The sequence below is a fragment of the Homo sapiens genome, chromosome 12 (assembly GCF_000001405.40).
Source record: "Homo sapiens chromosome 12, GRCh38.p14 Primary Assembly".
Taxonomy (NCBI): domain Eukaryota; kingdom Metazoa; phylum Chordata; class Mammalia; order Primates; family Hominidae; genus Homo; species Homo sapiens.
The window spans coordinates 129,529,939-129,549,607 of record NC_000012.12 but is presented as its reverse complement, the minus strand read 5'-3'; the positions used below and the strand labels follow the sequence as shown (position 1 = coordinate 129,549,607).

The window sequence follows — 19,669 nt, the reverse complement described above, 5'->3', positions numbered from 1 at the left end:
TAATGGACTCACAGTTCCACATGGCTGGGGAGGCCTCACAATCATGGCAGAAGGCAAAGGAGGAGTAAAGGCACGTCTTACATGGTGTCAGGCAAGAAAGAATGAGAACCAAGCCAAAGGGGTTTCCTCTTACAAAACCATCAGATCCCATGAGACTTATTCACTACCATGAGAACAGGAGGGGGGAAACCACCCCATGATTCACTTATCTCCCACCAGGTCCTTCCCACAACACGTGGAAATTATAGGAGCTACAATTCAAGATGAGATTTGGGTGGGGACACAGCTAAACCATATCAGGAAGTGAATTTCACTGTGTGTCTGGAGGAAATGACACATCTTACATGGTGGCAGGCAGGAAAGAATGAGAACCAAGCCAAAGAGGTTTCCTCTTACAAAACCATCAGATCCCATGAGACTTATTCACTACCACGAGAACAGTAGGGGGGAACCACCCCCATGATTCACTTACCTCCCACCAGGTCCCTCCCACAACACAGGGAAATTATGGGAGCTACAATTCAAGATGAGATTTGGGTGGGGACACAGCCAAACCATATCAGGAAGTGAATTTCACTGTGTGTCTGGAGGAAATGGTGATACAATTCTCACCAATCACCTCACCCAACGAGTGATGTGAAATTTCAGAGGTGCTCCTTTCTTTCACATGTCTGGCAGTCTACTCAGGTGAGCTAAGGAAATATCCAGTCTTTGGAAGCTTTTTAAATAATCTGTTTTCTTGTTTGTAAAATGAGAAAGGAGGTCGTTTGTTGAAATACTTAAATGTGCTTTCTCTTCTGCATTTCTGAGTAAACCACTTTCTTCTTGGCCAGTCCAACACATCCATTCACCTGGGTTGGAAGGGGGTGGTAGGATTGACTTCCTCACCCCCCCTTGATGTTAGGTGAGGTCACATGTGAAGTGTGAGCCGAAGAGGCATGTGTCAAATTCAGGTGGGAGCTCTGTAAGTTTCAGCAGGCTCTTCTGTGATGTTGGATAGCTGGTTCTACAGCAGGAAGTTGAAGAGAAAAAGAACAGGCCATTACCTAGGTCCTAATATCCAATATGGGATTTTCATCCTCAGCAGGAAAGTTGACTTGAAAGCCAGATTTTATGGCGTGACTGAGAGAGGGATCTCTTGAAAAATCTTCCTATTCCTTCCCTTTTTAATAGACCATAAGGGAGACCTAGCAGATTACATTAATAGATTTTATTATACTCCAAGGGCAGGGAGGAGGCGAACAGGATGGGTAAAGATCAAACCCCAGCTCTGCAGACATAAATTCAGGCCTGAGGGACTGTGGAAAGAGAGAAGGGAGAAGAGTGCTGCGGACTGCCTCCAGCACCGAGTGAAGGAGGTGTCTCCCCTGCCCCTGATGGGGCTGAGACCCTAATCTGGGAGAGGGATATAGGCGGGAACCCCAAGGCCAGGCCTCCACTCTAAGTAATCTGAATTCTGGAAGGAAATTGCCCCACGGGGTGATTAAGCGACAACTAAATGTGCAGGGTTTATTGAAGCCAGGTGTAAATTCCTATCAGCACAGGCTGACTCTACTCTGTAGCCTGGCGGTATCCATGTACTCAGATCCATGCTCCCTATGAAGAGACGGGAAATAGGGCACAAATTGTCACATTTGCCAGCAGAGACCCTCCAGTGACCAAAAGTAACAGCACAGCACAGTGTGTAAGAACAGAGCTCCTGGAGTCGGCCGCCCACTAGCTGTGTGACTTGGAGCAAGCTACTCAACCTCTCTGTGCTGCAGAGAACTTAATCTGTAACATGGGGTAAAACTTCTTTTCATAACAACTCTTACAAAGTTATACCAGTTTTCAGACAAGACTCTTTTAGTAGGGTATTGATTTTTCACTCCAACAGCACACTATGAGAAGTGCTCTTTCAACATTACAGGTTTAAGCAATTTACTCATCTCACACTTTCTAGTTGGAGAACATCCTGTAGAACAACATTTTAATTGTGCACTGTGTTTGGGTGGAAATGGCATCCATGAAAGTCTGCCCACTGAAGTTTGCAGAGAACCCGCTGAAATGACCGGTGTTGAGGGTTGAACTGTGCTCCTGAAAATGCCCTCATCCCTTGTACCTGTGAATGTGACCTTCTCTGCAGATTTAATTAGGTTCAGATGAGGTCACACTTAGGGTGGGCCCTAAACCCAAGGTCCAGTATTCCTTTGAGAAAGCCACGTGGCCAGGCACCGTGGCTCACTCTTGTAATCCCAGCACCTTGGGAGGCCGAGGCAGGAGGATCACTTGAGCCCAGGAGTTTGAGGCTGCAGTGACCTATGATTGAACCAATTCACTCCAGGCTGGGCAACAGAGTGAGACCCTGTCTCTAGAAAAAATTTAAAAAGGAAGGCCCCGTGAAGACACAGACATGCTGGAAGGGAGCTGTGTAACCATGGAGGCAGAGACGGGGGTGATGCTGCCCCGGGTGAGGAATGCCAAGGAGTGCTGGTTGCCACCAGAAGCAGAGGCAGCAATGGGAGGATTCTTCCCTAGAGCCCCAGAGGAAGCAAGGCCTTGAGAGCTAGTGATTTCTGACTTCTAGCCTCCTGAACTGTGAGAAAATCAATTTCTTTGGTTTTATGCCACCCAGTTTGTGGGAATTTGTTATGGCAAGGCTAGAAAACTAACATAACCTGTATGAATCCTAATTAGCTTATTAATAAACTGTATGGAAATAGATGGTTCTAAGCTGCTTGCAAAGATGTCTTTCAGAAGTCTCCAAAATTCTCCTTACAATGGTAGCTACCCTTGTCTACAGCTTTTTTCTTTTCTTTTTTTTTTTTGAGACGGAGTATCGCTCTGTTGCCCAGGCTGGAGTACGGTGGCATGATCTCGGCTCACTGCAACCTCCACCTCCTGGGTTCAAGCAATTCTCCTGCCTCAGCCTCCTGAGTTGCTGGGATTACAGGTGTATGCCACCACGCCTGGCTAATTTTTTTTATTTTTAGTAGAGACGGGGTTTCACCATGTTGGTCAGGCTGGTCTCGAACTCCTGACCTTGTGATCCACCCACCTTGCAGCTTTCTTCTTAATTTAAATCCTAGCCTTGCAATGGATCCTCTCCTTGCTTGCTGTGAATTACTGGGGCTTGACAATGTTAATATACGTGCTCTAAAGGAGAATGCAGGTGTAGCTTAGGTTTCTAATGTCTAGGGAGCTGCCTATTTGAAATGGAAACCATCATAATCTTTCCTATTAATATGAATAATATACACACGCAGACATGTATTTTCAATAGCATTTCATTTAGCAACAGGGTTTCAGGAATGAATCAAAGTTGTTATTTTATTCATATGAGAAAAAACAAGTGGATGTTTGAAGCTTTTTTGGTACATGACAAGGGTTATATAAACATTTGTTAAATAAAATAAGCACATTCTTGGTTATGATTGCAGGGCAGAGTACCTGGGCATCAGGACAGGGGACAGTCAGGCCAGTGGAAGTCTTAACCAGACTTTGAGGATCCCATAACACAAATGAAACCCCAGGGGACCCCAGCCACTGGCTTCTGCAGAAGATGCTAACAGAGTGCCCCATTGCACCTGTGATGATCGAACCCCACGCTAGCTCAGACAACCTGAGAACAGACAGTGCAGATGTCCAAGAGGCACCTGGACATGTCCCTCCTTCTGCTATGATTCCCATGTAGACCATGTTCCTCCTCATATTCCTGGTCCTCTTGCTGGAGAGAAGAGAGACAGCTCCGAGAGACGGTTTTACCTGAAGAGTTAAACCAAGTGTTCTCACCAGAGTGGAACTACCCTATTGAATGAACATTTAGTTTTGTTCCCACTTCACTGTAAGATGGGAACTTGTGTAAGAAGTCTCAGAAGTTGTAAAGACAGCAAGAAACCACACTTACTCTCTACACCTAAACGGATGCTTTCAGCTGATGGTGTCAGAAAATGGTTAAACTCATAGAACAGAGAGTAGCGTGTTGGTTGCCAGAGGCAGGGAGTGGGAGAATGGGGAGTTGCTGTGCAATGGGCATGAAGTCTCAGTTATGCAAGACGCATAAGCTCTAGAGATCCACAGCACAGCACTGTGCCTATAGTCAGCAATACTCTACTGTGCACCTAAAAATGTGTCTAAGGCATAGATCTCATGTTAACTGTTCTTACCACAATGAAATATAAATATTAAAAATATAATAAAAGAAAAAGTAAAAATAAATGAAAAATAAAAGAAAAAATTCTAACTTGAAATGATTAAAACATTTAAAAAGTGGGCTAGCAGAGAACTGGATGTCTCCTGTAACAAAAGACAGGCATAGATCTTGCTTCAGGAATGGTTGAATCCAGGGCCCCAATGCCAGTAGGACTTGATTTTTCTCCCTTCCCATGGGCTGACATCATGCTCAGCCTCTTCGTGGTGCAGTAGATCAAATCTCACACTCTCCCAAGTCAAGTCAGGAATGAGGAAGCTGGGAAGGAGGGAGTAATAATTTTCTTGTCACTCCTGGAAAATTCCCAAGATTCATCAATATGTTTGGACCCAATCACAGTGACCAGAAAGAAGAAAGCTGATCATTGTCGGAGGCCAGCCTCATTGGATGCATTGAGCCAAGGCTGTTGCCCAAAATGGATACTATGAACGCAAACCACAAGTCACTTAGGGATGCGGCTGTTGTAAAGGAAGCTATCCTGAGGTCGCTGGTGCGGTGTTGTGACTCAGTCACCCTGATGTCTGTGAAAACACATTTGCCAGTTATCATAGTCTCAGAGAACTACCGATGTGGGTTGTCACTCACATAACTGACTGATAAGTGTTACTTTTAATCTCTAGGAGGAATGTTGTCCCAAAGTCTGGTAGCACCTTTTGATAGTCTTCTGTGAGTTTTTATTTTTTCTTTCTCTTTTTTTTCTTTTCATTTCTTTTCTTTCTGCAAACTGAAAAGTTATCTTTAAAAATGTGCTAACAGAAGTGGTTCTTACTGAAATATGTGGTATTAGGATATTCCTGAAAATGAAGCAATAGGAAGAAAATAGCCCTACCAGATATTAAAATATGTCATAAGCTATTGTGTTTAAAGCATTTAGGGACTGGTGCATGAGAAGGCAGACAGACTAATAAAAGCAAGTGGATAGTCCAAGAAAATAAGCCTAAAAACACAAATAAACTTAGTATATTTTACCAATGGCATTTATGCCAACAGGTACTGGATGAATCATTTAATGAATAGTGTGATTTTAAAAACCATACAGGAAAATATAAAGCTGGATCTTTATTTCATGCTAAAACAAATTCCAAATGGACCAAGGGATTTTCCTTACAAATCAATTTCCTAATAAACAATAAAAACAAGACTAAGAAAGCAACAGGGAAATGGACAAAGGATTTGAACAGACGTTTAACTTAAAAACAAAAATTCAAAGATAAATATGTGAAAAAATGTTCAATACCACTCAGACTTAATGAAATACTGTGTTCATCAGAATTGCAAAGATCAAAAAGAAAGAAAACAAGGACTTTAAGACACTGTCAGTGGATATAAACGTGTATAGGATCTTTCTGAATGTCAATTTCGCAAGTTCTATACAAATTGAGCACATGCATCTCTTTTGACTTGGCAATTCCTTTTTTAAGAATTTATCCTACACATATATGTGTGTGCAGTGTTGTGTGGACATGGCAGTTTCCTGAAGCACTTGCTATGGTATCAAAGATTAGGAACCACCTCTGTGTCCATCGAGGGGGCACCAGTCAAGCAGATTTTGCTCAGATACTAGCACACAATGGATTAGTATGTGTAGAAAAAAGAATGCAGTGGATCTATAAATGCTTTACATCGATACATTCCCAAGATATGTTTTTATGTATATATTTGTGTGGATGGCCTTAGCTTATGGTGGTTCAACTTATAACTATTTTACAATGGTGTGAAAGTGATAAGCATCCAGTGAAAACCATACTTGGACCACCCATGGCACCATTCTGTTTTTCACTTTCAATACAGTTTTCAGTAAATTACATGAGACATTCAACACTATAGATGATTTTGCCAAACTTTAGGCTAATAGAAGCACCCTGGGCATTCTCACAGTAGGCCAGGCTAAGCTCTGATGTTCACTAGGTAGAGTGTAGAATGCATTTTCAATTATGATATTTTCAACTTACAGTAAGTTTTATTGGAATGTAACCCCATCATAAGTTGAGGAATATCTATCTATCTGTCTATCCATCCATCCATCCATCCATCCATCCATCCTTACATCCATCCATCCACCCACTCATCCACCCGCCCACTCATCCATCCATCCATCCATCCATCTATCCATCCACCCACCCACCCACCCACTTACTCACCCCCTACTCATCCATCCATCCACCCACCCACCCACTCATCCATCCATCCATCCACCCACCCACCCACTCACCAACTCATCAACTCATCCATCCATCCACCCACCCACCCACCCACCCATTCATCCATCTGTCCAGCTGTCCATCCATCCATCCATCCATCTATCCATCTATCCATCTTTCTAATCTATCTATCAATTTACTGTCATGCATTGCTTAATGACAGGAGTACACTCTGGGGAATGCGTCATTAGGTGATATTGTCATTTTGCAAACATCATGGAGTACACAAACATAGGTGGTATAGCCTACTCCACACCTAGACTGTATGGTATAGCCTATTGCTCTAGGCTGCAAACCTATACAGCATGTGCCTGTTCTAAAACTATAGGTAACTGTAACACAATGGTAAATATCTGTGTGTCTAAACATATGTAAACATAGAAAAGGTACAGTAAAAATACAATATTATAATCTTATGGGACCATTGTTGTACATGCAGTTAATTGATGACTAAAATGTCGTGCAGTGCATGACTGTGTGCATGTACGTATATGCGTGTGTGTATATACATTATATATATACCTACATATACATATATGTAGTATAACTGTGTGTACAGCGTGTTGTCATTGGTGTACATATATTTTAAATCCATGTATCTAAGTATGTTAATCTCTTAGAAAATGTCCCACTAAACTCAGAAGTTTGACGATAGATGTCTGTAGCAAGAGGAACTTCTCTTATATCCCCATTCATGCCATTTGAATATTTATAACGTTTCTATACCATTTTTCAATGAAAAATTGTTAATAAAAAAATTAACAACCTCCCAAAAGACATCCCTGAGAATTTACGTTTATTAACCATAGTTCCGCTTTTGATTTAGAATGCCTTCTTTAATTAAATAAGTATATTTAAGCAATTTCTCTAAAACACTGGTAACCATGAAGGCTGAGAAAATAGCAATACAGTTCAATTATGTAATGTAATGAAATTAGGGGGTTGTGGTTCTTAACAGACAGTAAAATTAGGTCTTATCCTAAACCCTGAAAACTAGGCACATCTCAGCCCCCTGTGAATCGTGGAGCCCTGGGAACATGGAAGTTAGTTGAGTGTTCTGAAATAGTAGGTGCTGGGGAGGCCCCCTGAGCTGCTTGTCTGCAAATATTTGTCCTGCTGGCTCTGCTGAGGTGATTGACTTGGCTACATTTGGAACTTATGAGGCTGATTAGAACTTTGAGCTCACATCTGATATCTCCCATTGGAGGCAAGGATTATGCTTTGTTTCTTTTTGTTTTGTTTTGCTTTGTTTTTGTTTGTTTGTTTTTAAGAAGAGTCAGGGCTTTGTTTTTAAGAAGAGTGGATGAGATGGAAAAGGGGTAAAATTTTATTCAGGTATTCAGGGCATCCAGGTTTCTGTGTAACAAAGAAGATAATGGTAATAATCATCATCATAGCTAAAATTGATTTTCTACCAGACACCGTGTTAAGGACTCGACATGGCTTAGGGTTCATTATGTGCAACAGGAGCGGGACTCTGGTTTTGCCTGTCTGCTGGTTTATTTGATGACCCCATGATGGGAGACTCAGTGACATGCGAAGAATGAGGCCGCCACATCCCAATCATTGACATGTGGGCAGTTCAGAATGTGTTGTCGTTTATTGGTTTGGTATCAATGAGGCAAACAGTTTGCTCTGTGTTTCTGGAAATGGTGATGAATGAATGCAGGTCCCTCTACCCTCTCTCGCCATCCCCTCCCAATTTAGCCATCCATTTCTGGGAGGGTGTGTTGAGGGGTGCAGCCTATATCAAAGTTCTGTTTTTCCAAATGAGAAAACCTGGTCTGCATGGAGTCATAACGATTCCTATGAATCCATAGACAATGTTCCCACATAACAATTTGTAAAATATTTAAATAACATCCTTGACTGTTGTTGGGTGGTGGTCTGTGTTCAGTAGGAACAAGGAGAGTTCTTTCTCCAGTCTCATATTAGGCAGAGGGCAAATCAGGCATAAAAGACATCTGTGTATGTCTACGTATTTCCCTTCTGCCTGCCTGCGTGTGTTCCTTGCTGGCTTTATGGTTTTTCAGAAACATGAGTAATAAAATAAGGTAAGTGGTTCTAAGTAGCCGCTCCTTACACTGAGCCCTCTGACCTCTTGCTTTGCTTTGTTTCTTCATGGAACTTATCAGTGTAAGAAATGTGTGCATGCATGCGTTCTGTCTCCTCCACTAGAATGTTAGTTCCATGGCAATAGAAAACGTATGTTTCTTCTCACCTGCATATCCAGTGGGTGAAGAGTATATGAAAAGAGGGAGCACTCAAAAAGTGTTGAATGAAGCTGGGCACAGTGATAGCTCATGCCTGGAATCCCAGCACTTTGGCAGGCCAAGGCAGGAGGGTTGCTTGAAGCCAGTTTGAGACCCAGCCTGGGCAGCATAATGAGACCCCATCTTTGCAAAGAAATTAAAGTATTTGTTGAATGAGGCTGGCATGGTGGCTCACACCTGTAATCTCGTTACTTTAGGAGGCCAAGGTGGCAGGTGGATCACTTGAGGCCAGGAGTTCGAGACCAGCCTGGCCAGCATAGTGAAACCCCATCTCTACTAAAAATACACAAAATTAGCTGGGGGTAGTGGCACACACCTGTAATCCCAGCTACTCAGGAGACTGAGGCATGAGAATTGCTTGAACCAGGGAGGTGGAGGTTGCAGTGAGTGGAGATCACACCAGTGCACTCCAGCCTGGGTGACAGAGCAGGACTCTGTCTCAATTAAAAAAAAAAAAAGTTTGTTGAATGAATCAGTGAATGAACAAACACACCCAGAGGCAGATTGATTTACTCTCCTCGAATTACTCACTTCAGTCCTTTATAGCCACGGATTATTATTTACTTATTTTGAGTAGTGGGGGTGGGGACATTGACTTCAGAGCCTCTAACAGCTGGTGTCCCTGTCCATCGCACTGGCACAGCTCCTGGCTGGTGTGCAGCCCCTTCTCCCTGTTTCTACTCATCCCACATCTCCCATGAACTAGCTAGCACCTGTAGGAATGCCTGGCCTCGGGGACCCTTCTCATGCATTGACTGTCAGGAGGCAAACCAGCTGCTTGGGAAGACTAAAGACGATGTGCAGAAAGCATGTAGCTCTAAGATGGTTTTTAAAAGCCATTGAACATCTGTCTGTGCTGGCAATTTAAAAAAAAAAATAAAAGCCCACAGACTAGGCTTAATGGAGTGAAATAGGTGGATTCAGATGTATTCCAGGAGAGACAGGAGGTCCCCAAAGCCATCAGCCAGCCTGGCCGGAGACTTGACACCACGCTTGGCTCACCCTCTGGGCCATGTCACTTGCTCTGTGCCTTTGGTCGTTCTCCCCGCTGGGCTCCCCTGAGTTGGCAGGTGGCTAGCCCGTTTCTGGCTTTGAGCTGCTTTGTCTCTTGAGCTGGTAGAGAAAAGAGACCAGGGTGATCTGTGATCAAAGCAGCATGTTTAATATACAGTAGTATCCTTTAATCCAAGGTTTTGCTTTCTGGGGTCCGAAAACATTAAATGGAAAATTCCAGGCTGGGCGTGGTAGCTCACGCCTGTAATCCCAACACTTTGAGAGGCTGAAGCAGGCAGATCACTTGAGCCCAGGAGTTTGAAATCAGTCTGGGCAACATGGTGAAATCCCGTCTCTGCTAAAAGAAAAAAAAAAAATAGAAAAAATTAGCCAGTGGCGGGCTCCTGTAGTCCCAGCTACTTGGGAGGCTGAAGCAGGAGAATGGTGTAAACCCAGGAGGTGGAGCTTGCAGTGAGCTGAGATCGCGCCATTGCACTCCAGTCTGGGTGACAGAGTGAGACTCCGTCTCAAAAAAAAAAAAAAAAAGAAAAAATTAGCCAAATGTGGTGGCTCACACCTGTAGTCCCGGCTACTTGGGAAGCTGAGCTGGGAGGATCACTGGAGCCTGGGATGCAGAGGTTGCAGTGAGCCGAGGTCGTGCCACTGCACTCCAGCCTGGGTGACAGAGTAAGAGTCTGTCTCAAAAAAAAAAAAAAATCCGGAAATAAACATTTCACGAGTTTTAAATTGCATGCCATTCTGAGTAGTGTGATGAAATCTTGTGCTGCCAGCCCCATCCTTCCTGGGACATGAATCATTCCTTTGTCCTGTACTCGCAACCCTCCTGCATGAGACACCTGCCCCCTTGTCACCCACATGGTCTCTTCCTGACATCCAGCCATGGACATCAAGACTCAGCTCCAGGATCACTTGCAGCAGAGGACGCTCCTTCTGACCTATCGCCAGGGGTCACTAGTAGCCAACGCTCCTTCTGACCTATCGCCAGGGGTCACTAGTAGCCAACGCTCCTTCTGACCTATCGCCAGGGGTCCCTAGTAGCCAACGTTCCTTCTGACCTATCGCCAGGGGTCACTAGTAGCCAACGCTCCTTCTGACCTATTGCCAGGGGTCACTAGTAGCAGAATGCTGCATCACAGGGCCTGTGCCAGTCACCTCCCTTCATCTCATTGTGCAGAAATTTTATTACCTCTCATCGTCATCCTAAGAAAAAGGGTGAATACAGTGCAAGAAGGTATTTTGAGAGAGACCGCATTGCCATAACTTGTATTGCAGTATATTTTCATAATTGTTCTATTTTATTATTAGTTATTATTGTTAATCTCCTCCTGTGTCTAATTTATAAATTAATTTATCATAGGTATGTGTAGAAAAAAAACATAGTATGTATAGGGTTTAGTACTATCCATGGTTTCATACATCCACTGGGGGTCTTGGACTGTATCCTCCAAGGATAGAGTGGGACTACTGTCATCACAGCTACTGTGCACAGCTGTGCAGGTTGTACACTGCTCCACTGTATGAGGCCCCATTCATATCATACTCTATATGAATAAAGCCTCCTGGGGTTAGCCAGTCACAAGTTGCATGGCCATATGGCAGCCCTCGGCATGATCCTATTTATATAAAATTATAGACTGGGTGTGGAAACGTACACAGAAGAATGATGACTAAATTATGGATAGCTTAGGTGTAAAGTGATGGAAGTTCGGGAGTTTTTTTGTTTTTGTTTTTGTTTGCTTTCTTCCTTGTATCTTTGTGTGTGTCCATTGATTGAGGCATTCATTCATTCTGAAGATATTTAACTTCCTCATTTACAGCTCACGTAAATCTCAGAAGTGACAGAGGACATCGCTCTGCTTTAAATCTTTAGATGTCTTTTTGTCTTGGACAGTGTCTTCAAATGTTGGAATTTCACATAAAAGTCAAGATTTGTCTTTGGCAGCACCTGGCCTGTGTGCCGCGTCGATGAGGCCAGGACTCTGCAGTTTTGAGTTTTCAACGTTAGTGTATTTTGTGCTTTCTAATTAATGACAGGCTGAGCTTTGCTTCTAGGGATTTTAATGTTCTATTAATCCACCAGTTACTGAAAACTGTTCTCATCATTTTCCCTCAGTGCAGTGGAGGCCACACCCCCATGCTTCCGCATTCTTGGCTTTTCCCTGTGGGGGTGTGGAGACCCCCCATTTCTTCTGTGAACCAATTCCTCTTCTCTTTGGTCTCCTCGAACTGTTCTCTACTTCCTTATGTCCGTTTAGAGCCCTTGTAATGCCTCACAGTTAGCAAGACAGCAAAAATGGGTTGCATTGAAGTCACAGGTCTTACTTCTAAATTTAACTTTACCCACCAGAAGGGCAGTGGGAAAACAGATTCCCTTGTACAAGTGAAGGTATGAACACTTAGAGCTGGCAGGAGCATTTAAGCCCCATGTGAATATTGACATGAACACTTAGAGCTGAGCTTCCTTGTCACATGGCTGCCGCTGCTGTGTGTCATGCACCCCGTTCTTGGGAATTAAAGGGTCTAGGGGATTCAAGTGTCTCCTTTATCGTGGGGTGAGCACATCCTAAGGGGAATGTAAAATGATTCATTGGAGGATCAACTAAAATCAGGACTTGGCAACTGATTATTTTTAGTCTCAAGGTTTAAAATGTGCATTTTCATGTATGTTTTGTAGCACACATTATTTCAATAGTCCAACCCATGGTTCAACTGTAAAGTTTATAAACATAAAAACCTATATAAAGGTTGCATATGAATTTTTTTTTTTTTTTTAGACAGAGTTTCACTCTGTCACCCAGGCTGGAGTGCAGTGGCACAATCTCGGCTCACCGCAACCTCTGCCTCCCGGGTTCAAGCAATTCTCCCGTCTCAGCCTCCTGAGTAGCTGGGTGGGATTACAGGCATACACCACCACATCTGGCTAATTTTGTATTTTTAGTAGAGACAGGGTTTCTCCATCTTAGTCAAGCTGGTCTTGAACTCCCGGCCTCAGGTGATCTTCCCACCTCGGCCTCCCACATGGCTGGGATTACAGGCGTGAGCTACCGCGCCCGGCCGCATATGAAAATATTTTTACTGATAGGGGTGCATGACAAAGAAGTTGGAAACATATCATTCACATTGTTACTTTAGGCTTAGCTCTTTCTTCTGCTTCACTGTTGGTCTTTAACTGGCTATAGTGGAATAGTCACAAAGTAAGGAGACTTAGCAAATATATTCCAGTAATAGAAAGAGGGACCTAGTGTCTCCCAAAGTGAAAAGTGGGACATGATTCCTAAAATACTGACAGTGGCATTGTAAGCAGGCATATCCATGTAACTGCTGGCGAGGGCAGGGCCAAGACGTCCAGATCGGGCTGGAAGTGCTTCATCATATAAGCAAAATGTTATGTGATATATCAACATGTTGATGTAGTGGAAAGTAGCGTTTCCATAAATTTGTTTTTCTGGTCAACTGGAAATTAGAAGCCAAGAGTGATTGCACAATATGTTAATAGAGCTATGACCTATAAAAAAAATGAAGCTTATTTTATGCTCTGTCACTATTAATGAGAGAAAGTAAGTATGGAGACAAAGAGCAATTCAAAAAAGCTTTGCTGTGACCCCAAAGGGCATGTTTCCATCAATTAACTGGGAGGAATGCTATCACCAAATCTACATGCGTAGGAGTGTGGCACCCTTTGGTGGGTGCACACTGTGTATTGTTCCATAGATTGAGCCTATATGGACTCAAAAATGGAGATATCAGATTTTACCAGGATTTTATCTATGCAGAGACTATGTGGCCACATGAATCTCTGGGGGAGACACATGTAGACAAATCTTTCATTTCAGAAGTGAGAGAAGCAGTCCAGAAGTTTGGATCTCTTCGTATCTTCCTTCCTCCAATTCCCTGGAATTCTACAGTCAGTTATTGATTAAAGCCAGTATTAGCCTGCGGATAGCTGATTAGCCAATAATAGTTTCTAACAGGACTATGTTCATTATAAACAAATAGCCTGAGACTTACACACAATCCAAATTTCTCTTCTTGGGCTTTGAACTCTATATAGCAAAACTTCTCTCCCTGTCCCCCTTCCTTTCTCTTTGCTCTCTCTTCCTCTTTCATTTTTTTCTAACAACACACACACACACACACACACACACACACACACGCACACAAATCTTAAATGAATCTCCCAACAAACAAAACACTGAAATTCCCCTTTATCCCACTTTTATCTCATCAATTTTGCTTTCTGTCTCTATGTGTTCTTTATAGCACACATTTGTATTAGTTCAATAGCCCCAGTGTGAATTTCATACATGAATATGCCTGTATTCAGGTTGCATATTAAGAACACTTCCACTGACAAGATTGCGTAAGTAGGGAGTTTCTCTTTGGGGCAATGTTGTCATCAGCCTAAGTCTCTGTACACAGTGCTTTGGATAATGAACTCAAATTTATAGACTTTAGGAGGCTGACACATCCCATCATTTGGAGTCCCCTGGTGGTTGTGGTGGAGGGAGATGCAAATCCTCCATCCAAATCCATCTCTCTTTCCACTATAGTGACAGGGTCACAGTGGGGATACGGCTGTCCAGGTAAAGACTGACTTCCCAGCACTCGCTGCTCTTGCAGTCAGGTGTGGCCATGAGACTAGGCTCCTTCCAATGGGAGGTGAGTGAATTTGGGCATGCAGTGCCCACCTCACCTGCTTAAGAGGAAATCCCTTGTTCTGGTCTACTGCTCTTCCCTCTTCCTCTTGGCTGGGATGGTCATGAGCACAGAGACATTAGAAGTTATACATTAAAAACAGTAGAGATGCCTTCAGCCTTGATCCCCAAATGACTGAGTGGAACAGAGACACCCAGCAACCTGGGTTACCAGCAATGGATGTTCACAGGAGGAGGAAATACACTTCCTTGTTCTTGAAGTCACTGAATCTTAGCCTCCCCTTGTTATATAATTGGAAATGATCATAAATAACTCAGGCTACGTTAAACAAGAAGGGACTGGATGGGAGGATGGGGAATATTTGTATGCCTAAAGGGAAGGCTGAGAACCAGATTCAGAAATGTTAGCTGTGTTAATTCCTGCAAACCAGAGAGAAGGAAGCAATAGACAGTTGTAGCAGGGCCACAAGGCTGGGTGAATTTCCCCCAACCTTTTTTATTTGCTGTGTCTCTTTGTTCAAGATTATATTCCAGAGAGAATCTTTCAGCTGGACTGGCTTAGGTCATGTGTCCACCTTTTGTCCAGGGTTGGAGGGAGAAACTCTTGACTTACAAGTCTACCATGGTGGTATAGAATGGCAGAGAGGTGGGTCATATAAGCAAAATGAAGATACTGCTATCCAGGAAAGAGATTGGGTATGGGGAGCAAAAGCAACAATTGCGCACCACATTTCTGAACCCTGGATGCTGTACTTGAAACTCTGTGTGTGTGTGTTGATGATATATACATATTCTACATTATGTATACATATATGTATATACAAATTGCATTTATATATTTTTATATATATATGTATATAAAATATACACAGTCCCTGCAGTTCTATTATGTTTTAAAAACACAATATACCTTTAACCCCAGGCAGGTTTTGTTGATACCCAATCACAGTGCATGTGCATACTATGGGGAAAATTATGGCTTTCCCCCATCACCATGGTAGATATATTATTAAGCATAAATCTACAGCAAAGTATCTTCAAAATCAAGTGCTATGTTTATCTCTGTGTAATGAGGCTGTCAGTGTAACCTGTATTTATTGAACCACAAGTAGGTTATAAAACTTCCATTAATGAATGTAAGTAACTCAGTTGTCATAAACAAAGGGAGAAATTAGTATTTGGCTCAGACCCAGTGGAGCCCAGGGGCATGTGTTCTAGGAACTACTTTAATGGTTCCAAATGGTGCCACTGACAGCTCTGAGATTCGTGCTTCAAAATTATTAACCCAACACACACCGTGTTCAGTAAATACCGTGTCTACATCTCCGAAGAATGACCATCCAGTTTATTACATAGATTTTCCTTGATATTCACACACAAGGATACCTCTTGAGTATGCCTTCTTCAATTCTGAACATCTAAAACATGCCCTAGAAATGTGTGTTCTATTATGAAAATGTTCTGTGTCTCTGAAAGACAGTTCCCAGTGTCCTGTATAAAATTCCAGGAAAAAACATTTTTGCAGAAATAATGCTACCGACTATAGCTTCATTTGCTACAGTGGAATTATTAGCAAGAAATGTTGAATACTTCATGGGTTGAACAAGCCACTGTGTCCTTTCTTAAGAACTTGAAAAGGATTCATTGGAGAAACATCATCTGAATTCCACATAGCCTACTTATGAATAAAATTTCAGAAACATATAAGCCCATTATATATCAGAAAAGGCCTATGTACTGATATCTCCTGTATAATGAAAAGGTTGTCACAGCCAGGTTGATGACCTATTTATTTAAAGCAATGTTGATTCAATAAAATTCCACTGCAGAGTAATTGGGACAGCCTTTAGAATTCATCTTAGTATAATAGTAGCTGTCCACAGCGGATTGTACTTTTGTTCGCTACCACATCTTGGTTGCCTACAATTTAAATGAGTTTCTGCAAGGCAGGAATCCTAACTATTCGCCCAGTGTCTCACCTGAGTATCTAGAAAGGTCAGATGGCTTTTTGGCGTCTGCATGCGATTCCCAGTTTTTAAACGACTGCATTCAAAGTGTTTGCATGCATAATGATTATTTAAAACATCAAACGTGCATTTTCCCCACAGAAATAATGTTATACGTGATGATCATTTTCTAAAAATGCTGACTTTTGCAGTAGGGCCACACCTAGAAGCAATTCTTTCTCTCTTTGTGGACTCGCCAAATCAGTATGTGTCCTGGGGGTTCCTAAGACCACCCCCAGGTCCAGCGAGTCACTAGGAGAACTCACAGGACTCAGCATGTGGTGAGAATCACTGCTCCGATGTATTCGCCAAGGAAAGCAAAGCATGGTCCGCAGAGGGAAAAGGCACAGGGGAGGAGACCAGGCTCACGCTCCCAGGAATCCTCTCCCCGTGGAGTCACGCAGGATGTGCTTAATTCCTCCAATTCCTCCAGCATATGGCTGGGACAGCACTGCCAGAGGAGCTCACCTGAGCCCAGGAGTTCAGGGTTTTCACTGGGGATTGCTCATGGGGGCACCCTCTGCCTGGCACGTACCAAAATTCTATGCTCCTAGAAGACAACAAAGTGTCCAGCATAAACCACCTCATTTGCCCAGTCTAGGCACCGTGAGCCCCTCTGACCATGAAAAGGGAGGGAACGCTCCCCAAATCCAAGTTCCCAGCCACCCTTGCCAGCAGGCTTTCCTAAGGAGGGCAGTCTCAAGCCTGCAGCCTCAGGTCTTTTCTGCACACTACATTTTAAAATTGTTTCCATGGGAAATAGCGTTGTTGGTGTTAGGGACAGACGTGTCCTGCTTTTTCTCAAAGCCCTGGTCCTATGAGTGTCATCTCCCCCTCGCCTTTTGTCCCTAATATTAATAGCAGAAGATGGTCTCACTTTCTCCTCTGGCATGACAGAGAGGGATTTTGAGATGTAGGCTCTGGCACCATTGCCTTACTGCATGTTTATATAGGCACAATGATTACAAGTCTGGAGGAACTCCAAGTCGGCCGCTCCCACCATCCTCGTCTGCCTAGGTCAGGTACCATCAGCGTGCTCCAGGTTCCCCTTGGTACTCTCGCTTCAAGACTTTTCCTATTTTCCGCTGAGGGACTAAGAGAAAACACAGCAGGAAACATTAGCTTTTTCAAACTTCTAGGCCAGCTTGTAAATCAAAATCAAACTGTTTGCATTTTATTTTATTTTATATTTTATTTATTATTATTTTTCTTTTGAGGCAGGATCTCACTTTGTCACCCAAACTGGAGTGCTGTGGGTCGATCTCAGCTCACTGCAGCCTCCGCCTCCCAGGTTCAAGTGATCCTCCCACCTCAGCCTCCCAAGTAGCTAGGACTACAGGGGCACACCACCACACTCAAATAATTTTTGTATTTTTAGTTGAGATGGGGTTTCATTATTCTATGTTTCTTTTAGAAACCTGAATTGGAAAGAACATATGGAATGGAAAGCATACAGTAAGAAGACAAGATTATAAAAAGCAAACAGGGCTGGGCGCAGTAGCTCCCACTTTGGGAGGCTGAGGCAGGTGGATCACTTGAGGCCATCATTGTTCCTTCCCCTATCTGAACCTCAGCCCCCTCATTTTGGGCTTGGAACCTTGCTAGGAAGATCAGATAATATAGACACAGTGTCCATCAGGGCCTGGCACTGGGAGACATTCAATGAATGTGCGTTCTTATTTCAGTCTTTACTTTTGCATTTTCATTGCCTTTTTCTATTGAGTTTGGCCAGGCTAAGGGTTTTCAGGTAGTTCTGTGTTTGTGTTTGGCTTGGCTTTATTTAAAGATACAAGCTAGTGCAAGGATATTCTATTTCTTTCTGTAACTAATGTTTGCTGGCTGTCAGTCTACCATCTCTAGCTCTTTAGTAAAGGTAGGAAAAACGGAAAGAAATTAGGGCAGATGGGTTGGAAGGCGACTGCAAATTTGTGTTTAAATCCTAGTATACATGAGCTTACACCTGCCAGGCAACGGTGAGCAATTAAGCTCCCCGTGTTCCCAGAACCAGCATGACCCGGGGATTCCCCAGAGCTGACTCAGACCCACACGTGCTGTCTCCAACAGGGCAAAGGTGAAGAAAGGCGTGAACATCATCGGCGTGCGAGCCAGCAGCCCTTCCATTTGGGATGTCAAGGAGCGCACGGATTATACTGGAAAGTATGCACCAGCTGTCATCGTTTGTCAGAAGAAAGCAGCTGGCTCAGAAAACAGGTGAGTCCCAACTGGCCTCCGATATATTCAGATCAGCTGCAAATGTGGCCTGATTTTTTTTTTTTTTTCCTAGATTGCTAACAACCATTTCCACTGTGGTTTGCATTTGGTGTGTGTCGTCTATTCTATCAGGGCCTCCAGGTAGATGAATGGAATCTTTCATTTGGGAAAGGTGGGCTGTTATTCACAGCAGACCTACTTAAAACCCCAGCAGAGCACCGTATCACCTGCAAGGACTGCACCATGCAGATGGAATTGACCCACAAACCATGTTCCTCTTCAACATGACCTCTTTCTAGTCCATGTTATTGGAGGAACTGAAACTCTGCATGTCTCATGAAACGGCCCATTTTGCAAGTGTTAGAAACCAGAGCCTATACGTCTCTCTTCACACGGGTGCATTCCACGTTTGCAGTGTATATTTAAATACAATGCATATGATTGTATTCACGGGCAGGCATTTTCTGATGGTACAGTGAACTATCTGCAGTAGAATTGCAGGGAATTGTGGATCACTCTAGGGAGAAATTAAAACCTGAATCTGTCTCTGATAGCCACCAAATTAGAAACAATCAATTCACAGCTGGGCAAAGGGAGGCTCGGAAACTCAGTAGTTCTTGTTTTATTGCACTTTCCTGAAATCTCATTTGTGGCTCTGGGGGTTTCCTAGTCTGGTCACATATTTTTGTCACCTGTATGTTGCTTTTTGCTCAGGATTCTATTGAAAATTTCAACAATAATGAAAGGATGAATTCCGATATGCCATGCATTATTTCTGGAGTGCATTTTTAAACTTCCTAGCTCAGTGTTTGGAAAATATCCTTATTTTTTATTATTTATTCTAGCAGGGAGCTCAGGAATCTCAGCTGATAACTATTATGATTTTTTTTGGCTTATGATCAAGGAGCATTTGAAACCAATGTGGGGATGATTTGATTTGGATTCTTTTCTGTACTTCTTTGCTCGATGTTGGTTTTTAGGAATTTGGATTATCAGCAGCTCTCGTTTGGGCCTTTCCTTTTTATTCTTGAAGATTTGCTTGTACAGCAAATGAGAGGGAAAAGAGAAAATCTGTATTTGAGTTCAGTCCTAGATATGTATGTAGTGATATGTTTATGTA

The 19,669-nt window shown here is 43.0% G+C and overlaps 1 protein-coding gene across 1 annotated transcript in view; it reads left to right on the top strand.

The window, feature by feature from the left end:
- Positions 1 to 19,669, top strand: part of TMEM132D (transmembrane protein 132D) — an 832,300-nt gene that overhangs the window by 354,418 nt on the left and 458,213 nt on the right. The window contains exon 3 of the mRNA NM_133448.3: positions 18,403 to 18,549. Coding sequence (NP_597705.2) covers positions 18,403 to 18,549 — 147 coding nt within the window. The remainder of the gene's footprint in view (positions 1 to 18,402; positions 18,550 to 19,669) is intronic.